Source organism: Homo sapiens, chromosome 19, assembly GCF_000001405.40.
Source record: "Homo sapiens chromosome 19, GRCh38.p14 Primary Assembly".
Taxonomy (NCBI): Eukaryota; Metazoa; Chordata; class Mammalia; order Primates; family Hominidae; genus Homo; species Homo sapiens.
This window is the reverse complement of record NC_000019.10, coordinates 48288018-48296346: the sequence shown is the minus strand read 5'-3', so window position 1 is coordinate 48296346 and position 8329 is coordinate 48288018. Positions and strand designations below refer to the sequence as shown.

At 49.8% G+C, this 8329-nt stretch overlaps 5 annotated features.

Moving 5' to 3' along the window:
* Nucleotides 44–543: an enhancer, noted in NCBI's record as "H3K4me1 hESC enhancer chr19:48799061-48799560 (GRCh37/hg19 assembly coordinates)". NCBI's record gives its function as "activates a minimal SCP1, AML or CMV promoter by ChIP-STARR-seq in primed H9 embryonic stem cells {active_cell/tissue: H9 hESC(primed)}" and the evidence as "EXISTENCE:reporter gene assay evidence [ECO:0000049][PMID:30033119]".
* Nucleotides 544–1045: an enhancer, noted in NCBI's record as "H3K4me1 hESC enhancer chr19:48798559-48799060 (GRCh37/hg19 assembly coordinates)". NCBI's record gives its function as "activates a minimal SCP1, AML or CMV promoter by ChIP-STARR-seq in primed H9 embryonic stem cells {active_cell/tissue: H9 hESC(primed)}" and the evidence as "EXISTENCE:reporter gene assay evidence [ECO:0000049][PMID:30033119]".
* Nucleotides 4325–4973: an enhancer, noted in NCBI's record as "H3K27ac-H3K4me1 hESC enhancer chr19:48794631-48795279 (GRCh37/hg19 assembly coordinates)". NCBI's record gives its function as "activates a minimal SCP1, AML or CMV promoter by ChIP-STARR-seq in naive and primed H9 embryonic stem cells {active_cell/tissue: H9 hESC(naive and primed)}" and the evidence as "EXISTENCE:reporter gene assay evidence [ECO:0000049][PMID:30033119]".
* Nucleotides 5091–5140: an enhancer, noted in NCBI's record as "active region_14878". NCBI's record gives its function as "activates an Ori minimal core promoter by ATAC-STARR-seq in GM12878 lymphoblastoid cells {active_cell/tissue: GM12878}" and the evidence as "EXISTENCE:reporter gene assay evidence [ECO:0000049][PMID:35858748]".
* Nucleotides 5161–5210: an enhancer, noted in NCBI's record as "active region_14877". NCBI's record gives its function as "activates an Ori minimal core promoter by ATAC-STARR-seq in GM12878 lymphoblastoid cells {active_cell/tissue: GM12878}" and the evidence as "EXISTENCE:reporter gene assay evidence [ECO:0000049][PMID:35858748]".

The following is an 8329-nucleotide window of genomic DNA, read 5'->3' as shown; positions in this document are numbered from 1 at the left end:
TCTTATTTATTTATTTATTTATTTATTTATTTATTGAGATGAAGTTTCCCTCTTGTTGCCCAGGCTGGAGTACAGTGTCACGTTCTCGGCTCACTGCAACCTCCGCCTCCTGGGTTCAAGTGATTCTCCTGCCTCAGCCTCCCGAGTAGCTGGGATTACAGGTGCCCACTACCACGCCCGGCTAATTTTTGTATTTTTAGTCGAGATGGGGTTTCACCATGTTGGCCAGGCTGGTCTTGAACTCCTGACCTCAGGTGATCTGCCCACCTCAGCCTCCCAAAATGCTGGGATTACAGGCGTGAGCCACCGCACCCAGCCTATTCATCCATTTCTCTGAGATCCACGTGTCTGGCTCTCTTGGAGCTATGTTGGTCAGGGCAGGCTGGGCTGTGCTGCAGTCACAGCTGCAGATTCTCTGTGGTCCTCAGGCAGCAGAGTTTTCTCTCCTTTGTGGGCCAGCTGAGCGCTCCGCTCCATATCACTCGTGTACCCCGGGCCCATGGCACAGCCATCACTGGAGTGCTGCCAGTCCTTTGGCACGGGAAGAAGAGAGGATGGCACAGCAGGCAGTGACTCTCGAGGCTTGGACCTGATATGACACCTGTCCTCTTAGCTCACACTCAGCCAGAGCGGGTCAGCAGGTTACGCCGAACTTCAAAGGGTCGCCGGGAAGCGCAGTCTTTTCATGTGCCTGGAAGGAGAGAAAGGAAGGATTATTTATGGACAGCCCTAACTCCAGCCACAGGGTCACAGAGAAAAAGCTGACTTTGGCCCTTTCCTGCAGCGGGGGTGGGTGTAGGAGTGAGAGGGCTTAGAACACCTTGATAACTCTTTCCTGTAGTTGAGTCATGCCAAATGCCCTGTCAAAATTTAATCCATTGGTATCAAAGCTATATAAAAACTTCTAAAAATTCAGGCTGGGCGTGGTGGCTCACGCCTGTAATCCCAGCACTTTGGGAGGCCGAGGTGGGTGGATCACTTGAGCCCAGGAGTTCAAGACCAGCCTGGTGAACATGCGAAACCCTGTCTCGACTAAAAATACAAAAATTAGCAGAGCATGGTGATGTGCACCTGTCTTCCCAACTACTCGGGAGGCTGAGGCACAAGAATTGCTTGAATCTGGGAAGCGGAGGTTGCAGTGAGCCGAGATCATGGTACTGCACTCCAGCCTGGTTAATAGAGTGAGAGTGTCTCAAAAAAAAAAAAAAGTTCAAATCCAAACAGATAATCTATCATCCACCTTCCTAATCCAGGTAGCACCCTGAGCCTCCCCTTAAAATGGCTTGATCATAGTGCATACTTTTTTGTGTGAGAATAAGATGAATTTATACACAAAGCCTTAGAACAGTGGCTGGGCGTGGTGGCTCACGCCTGTAATCCCAGCACTTTGGGAGGCCAAGGTTGGCGGATCACCTGAGGTCAGGAGTTCAAGATCAGCCTGGCCAACATGGTGAAACCCCGTCTCTACTAAAAATACAAAAATTAGTCGGGTGTGGTGGCACATGCCTATAATCTCACCTATTCCGGAGGCTGAGGCAGGAGAATCTCTTGAACCTGGGAGGCGGAGGTTGCAGGGAGCCGAGACCATGACACTGCACTCCAGCCTGGGAGACAAGAGTGAAGCTGTATCTCAGAAAATAAATAAATTAATAAATAAAATGGCTTGATAATAGTACATACTTGTTTGTGTGAGAATAAAATGAACTGATACACAGAAAGCCTCAGAACAGTACCTGGCAAGTAGTAAATGCTCAGAACTACATGTGACTATTAGCAGGACAGCGATAAAGATGGAAAGGAGTGTAGTGTTTTCTTTCTATTTATTTATTTATTTATTTATTTTTGAGACGGAGTCTCGCTCTGTCGCCCAGGCTGGAGTGCAGTGGCACAATCTCAGCTCACTGCAATCTCCGCCTCCTGGGTTCAAGCAGTTCTCCTGCCTCAGCCTCCCAAGTAGCTGGGATTACAGGCACCTGCCACCATGCCTGGCTAATTTTTTTTTTTTGTATTTGAGATGGGGGTTTCACCGTGTTGGCCAGGCTGGTCTCGAACCCCTGACCTCAAGTGTGCTCCTACCTCGACCTCCCAAAGTGCTGGGAATACAGGCGTGAGCCACTGAGTCTGGCCTGTGTTCAGCAATATTTGAGCCATTTTTCCTTACAGAAAGAGAAATACTTATTTTTGTGTTTTAAATAAAACTGGTGTAGGAAAGTTAAAAAAAAAAAAAAAGAACTCTATTTCTCCCCTTACAGCTGCACAGGAGGGGACATCCACATATCTTTTCTCATTAATTTGATAAATATTTATTGAGCATGTACTATGTGCCATATATTGTACTAGGTTCTGGGGATGGAAGAGTAAAGGAGAAATTTGAAAATGGCATTTCAGGAGGGAGGTGGAAAGGCAGCTCCTCTGAGGCGTGGCTCCTGGCAGTGGAACTGCTATTCTTCCTCCCTGGGGGCCCAGGAAGTCTCATCTTGGTGTGGAGCTGAGTCGTGACCACCAGCCCTATCTCCCATTTCGGAGCGATTTCCTCCTCTTTCCTTCCAAAGATAGCAGAGTAAGCACAGCAGACCGAGCCTTCTGATTTGCTGCCCCTGCAAAGCGGCCTCATAGACCACCACAGTGCGATGGACTCAGGCTAACCACAGCTCTCTGTCACCTCAAGGGTCCTAGTCCTACAATGAGCAGGTTCACTTCCTCTACCTTCCCCTGGACTGGGGCTGGGCTCGCCACTTTTAGATGGTCAACCCTGCAGCACCCAGCGCAGAATACATCGAAGGCCACTTTAGAGACACCTGAGAATTCAACCTAGATTTTTGATTTTTTATTTTTTTGAGACAGGGTCTTGCTCTGTTGCCCAGGCTGGAGTGCAGTGGTGCAATCTTGGCTCACTCCAGCCTCCACCTCCCAGGTTCAAGTGATTCTCATGCCTCAGCCTCCTGAGCAGCTGGGACTACAGATGTGTGCCACCACGCCCGGCTAATTTTTGTATTTTTTGTAGAGATGGAGGTTTCACCATGTTGGCCAGGCTGGTCTCGAACTCCTGGCCTCCAGTGATCCTCCCGCCTTGGCCTCCCAAAGTGAAAAAGACATTTTAAAGTTTGACCTCTGGAATGCCTTATGCTACAGCCTAAGAGAACAGCAGGTGAGTGCAGCTCAATCTTATCAGCCAAAGTGGAGGAAGGATGAATTAAATTGTACTCAATAGCAGTGAAATTACGGGTATTTAATCATTTTCCTCCTCCAGGAGTGAGGCAGAAACAGGCACTGCCACATCCAGGCTGTGTGGTCTTGGGCCAGTGTCTTCAGCATCCTGAGCTGTTACTCATCCTGACATCAGAGCTGGCAGCGAATCCTGGAGGCAGCTTTGTGTGGTGGGGAAGGCTCACTGGGAGGTAGCGTGGGTGTAACCGGTTCCTCATCATAATCTCTGTCAAGTGAAAAAACATGGGGATAATCTAGAACAGTGGAAAACCCTATCCCAGACCCTTAGAGAGTCAGGAAACCATTTTAAGGTGACCTGACCAGCATTTAAAAATAGGAATAGGCCGGGCCTGGTGGCTCATGCCTGTAATCACAGCACCTTGGGGGGCTGAGGCAGGCGGATCACCTGAGGACAGGAGTTCGAGACCAGCCTGGCCAACATGGTGAAACCCCGTCTTTACTAAAAATGCAAAAATTAGCTGGGCATGATGGCGGGAGCCTGTAATCCCAGCTACTCAGGAGGCTGAGGGAGGCTGAGGCAGGAGGATTGCTTGAACCTGGGGGACAGAGGTTGCAGTGAGCCGAGATCATGCCTGGGTGATAGAGTGACACTCTGTCTCAAAAAAAAAAAAGGAATAGAGTGGAATATAAAGCATCGTGTAATACAGGGCCGTGTAATACAGGGTGGTATTTTTAAAACTAAAATTTTCTTTTTTTTGAGACGGAGTCTCGCCCTGTCACCCAGGCTGGAGTGCAGTGGCGCGATCTCGGCTCACTGTAACCTCTGCCTCCCGGGTTAAAGTAGTTCTTTGCCTCAGCCTCCCTAGTAGCTGGGATTACAGGTGCCCGCCACCATACCTAGCAAATTTTTTTTTTTTTTTTTTTTTAAGTAGAGATGGGGTTTCACCATCTTGGCCAGACTGGTCTGGGACTCCTGACCTGGTGATCCACCCACCTCGGCCTCCCAAAGTGCTGGGATTACAGGCATGAGCCACTGCAGCCGGCCTAAATTTTGTTTTTAATTGTACATATTTATAGGATGCGGCGTGATGTTTTGATACATATATAAATTGTGCAGTGATCAAATCAAGGTTATTAGCAAATCCATCATCCCAGATGCTTGCCATTTCTTTGCGGTGAAACATGCAAAATGTTCTAGCTATTTTGAAGTATACAATCCATTGTTGTTGGCTATAGAGGGTGGTATTCTTTTGTAAAAGTATGCTGATGCGGCCAGGCACGGTGGCTCATGCCTGCAATCCCAGCACTTTGGGAGGCCGAGGCGGGCAGATCACTTGAGGCCAGGAATTCGAGACCAGCCTGGCTAACATTGTAAAACCCCATCTCTACTAAAAATAAAAAATTAGCCAGGCGCGGTGACGGGCGCCTGTAATCTCAGCTACTCAGGAGGCTGAGGCAGGAGAATCGCTTGAACCCTGGAAGTGGAGTTTGCAGTGAGCCGAGATCGTGCCACTGCATTCCAACCTGGGCAACAGAGCAAGACCTTGTCTCAAAAAAAAAAAAAAAAAAATGCTGACGCAAAATGATTTCTTACTGTGCGTCAGAATTTTGGAAGCCACTGGTAGACAGTCCTTAGTTTCACACAATGATTTTCAGACAACTGCCCATTCGCCAATTCCAACCACCTCGGCCCACTGCCCAAATCCAACGTTTCTGGTCTCCGGGCGGCGCTGCCTTAGCAGGATCCGCCGCCAGGTGGCGCGCTCCCCCCGCCCGGAGTGGGTTTTGTTCCATCCCGGACTTAGATCTTCCAAGACGGCGATTTCCTTCTGGTCGGGTCTCTTCCCGAGGATCCGCTTTACTCGTACTAGAAACTCTGACCTCGAATGCAGTTCCAGAAGCAGAACCCTGTAGGGGGTTTCAGGCGGCCAAGAAGGGAAGTGGTTCTCCTAAGACCGTCCCGGCTTCAGTCCACGGCGCTCACTAAATGCCTCCCACGCCAGACGAGGTCCCCCGTCCCCGGAGCTCGCGTCCCAGAGGTGAGGACACACACGAACCCTCCTGCCCGAATTCGCGACCCCGTCAGTGCAGGGAGGCTCTGGCCTGGGGCTGAAGAGCCGAGTCTCTGGTGCCTGACAGCACGGGGTCGAGCCCCTCCCGGCCACCTGCTGGCTGTGTGATCTTGGGCATCGTGCTTGGCCTCGCTGTGCCTCAGTTCCCCCCACTGTAAAATGGTAGTGATAACAGCAGCCACTTCATAGCGTTGCAGGCGTTGCATGAGTTAATAGGTGCAAAGCGCTCAGAAGGGGGCCTGGCGTATGTTTGCCAAAACGATTGTTGAAAATTCTCAGTTTACATCTGTGAGAATTGAGGACCAGTTGGGGGTAGAGGGTGGGGAATCCCCAAAGTCGGCTAAGTTCAGCCTCAGCGACTGGAGGCGGGAGGGGTGTTCCCTCAGCTACAGATGTTTCCCCCCTCCCGCCCCGGCCCCCTCCACCCCCGGTTGAATCCAGGGATTCTGATTTCAGCCATGGTCCTTTTCCTCCGCACAGCGCTCCCTGGGGGTGGGAGTGGACCCAGGCCCCTTGGCAAGGTCTGGGACTGTCCTGGCATAGCAGCCTCCCCTCCTCCTCTTCATTCCTTCCAGGATGGGGAGGGCCATGAGTCACCCAGATTCTAGGATAAAGCAGCAGATTGCTGGGAAACGCAGGCAGCAGGGGTCCGGGAGAAAGGGCCAAGCTTGAGCCCCCTCAGCCACAGTGGGGGTCCCTGACCTGCAGGTCTTCCCCAAACACTGAAAGCTGAACTTAACAGTGCTGGGGCCATGCAGAATGCGCGCCTAGGAGGACCTCTGCTCTTACCAGTGGCGTTTCTCTTTTCTTTTCCTTTTTTTTTGGAGACGAAATCTCGCTCCGTCGCCCAGACGGGAGTGCAGTGGCGCAGTCTCAGCTCACTGCAACCGCTGCCTCCCTTGTTCAAGTGATTCTCCTGCCTCAGCCTCCCAAGTAGCTGGGATTACAGATGTCTGCACCATGCCTGGCTAAGTTTTGTATTTTTAGTAGAGATGGGGTTTCGCCATGTTGGCCAGGCTGGTCCCGAACTCCTGACCTCAAGTGATCCACCCACCCCGGCCTCCCAAAGTGCTGGGATTACAGGCATGAGCCACCGCGCCCGGCCTATTTTTTTTTTTTTTGAGACAGAGTCTCACTCTGTCTGTTGCCCAGGCTGGAGTGCAGTGGCACGATCTCGGCTCACTGCAACCTCCGCCTCTTGGGCTCAAATAATTCTCCTGCCTCAGCCTCCTGAGTAGCTGGGACTACAGGTGCATGCCACCATGCCTGACTAATTTTTGTATTTTTAGTAGAGACGGGGTTTCACCACATTGGCCAGGCTGGTCTTGAACCCTGACCTCAAGTGATCCACCTGCCTCGGCCTCCCAAAGTGCTGGGATTACAGGCGTGAGCCACCACGCCCGGCCAAGAATGACTTTCATAAAATGCTCATTGGGAGGGCTTTGCAAAATTGGTGTTAGCAGCATGTTTATAATCTCTAAAGTGAGATACAGATCCAGGGTCTCTGGAATGAATATAACTAAGAAAGAATGAATGCCACCTGCACCCTACCTGCTTAGCTTTTCTTTTCCTGAAAGAAGCAAGGCACAAAGAAATATTCTATGCCATGCCATCATACGCAGCATAAACATCATCGAAACTAGAAAACAGGGTATTTGGGGATTTCTGCATAGCTGCAAACATAAAGATGAGCGAGGGGGGCGAATGATACAAAATGAACCATGGCGGTTTCCTCTTGGGGCTGGAGATGTCGTCTGTGAGGCACAGACGTGAATTGCCTGGTGTTTAATGATGAGCTGTTTACGGGCTTGGATGGTGGGTATAAGGGTGATCACTTTATTAACTTTGAAATGTCGTGGTGGCAGGTGCCTGTAATCTCAGCTACTCAGGAGGCTGAGGCAGGAGAATCACTTGAACCTGGGAGGCAGAGGTTGCAGTAAGCGGAGATCACGCCACTGCACTCCAGCTTGGGCAACAAGAACAAAACTCCATCTCGAAAAAAAAAATGTATATGTACATTTTCATGCATTTTCAGGTAGTCATATTTCCCAACTTTTATTTTTTATTATTTTTATTTTTACTTTTTTTGAGATAAGTTTCACTCTTGTTGCCCAGGCTGGAGTGCAATGGCACAATCTCGGCTCACCGCAACCTCCGCCTCCCAGATGCAAGCAATTCTCCTGCCTCAGCCTCCTGAGTAGTTGGGATTACAGGCGTGAGCCACCACACCTGGCTAATTTTATATTTTTAGTAGAGATGGGGTTTCTCCATGTTGGTCAGGCTGGTCTCGAACTCCTCACCTCAGGCGATCCGCCCACCTTGGCCTCCCAAAGTGCTGGGGTGACAGGCATGAGCCAACATGCCCGGCCGTTTCCCAACTTTTAAAAGATTGAAAAGAGGCCGGGCACAGTGGCTTATGCCTGTAATCCCAGCACTTTGGGAGGCCAAGGCAGGCAGGTCACTTGAGGTCAGGAGTTTGAGACCAGCCTGGCCAGCGTGGTGAAATCTCGTCTCTACTAAAAATAGAAAAATTAGCTGGGCGTGGTGGTGGGTGTCTGTAATCCCAGCTACTCGGGAGGGTGAGGCAGGAGAATCACTTGAGCCCAGGAGGCAGAGGTTGCAGTAAGTCGAGATTGCCCCACTGCTCTCCAGCCTGGGTGACAGAGCAAGACTCTGTCTCAAAATAAATACATACATAAATAAAATAAAAATAAAAATAAGACATTAAATAGTGCTCATTGTGGAAAGTGAATCTATGTGCCCTTAGTAAAGAAGATGAGAAGAATGGAGGTGGCAGGGAAGTTGACAGAATAGGGCACATTAGACTGACAAAGTCATAACAAGTAACCCAAGTTGGTACCAGAAAGACCACATACTCTGACCATAATGCAGTTGAACAGTGACCAATAAGACAAAAATGGTATCATGGAGTATATGAATCCCAAGTCTAAATTGAATGAGGCTCAAAGAAGGCTTCACATTGAAAATGAGACCACGTGTATGTGAGTTATAATGAACCTGCTATATACCAACATTTATGTGGCAGAGCTGGGAGTGTGCAAAGAGGGATATCCTTCATCTTGTAGCAT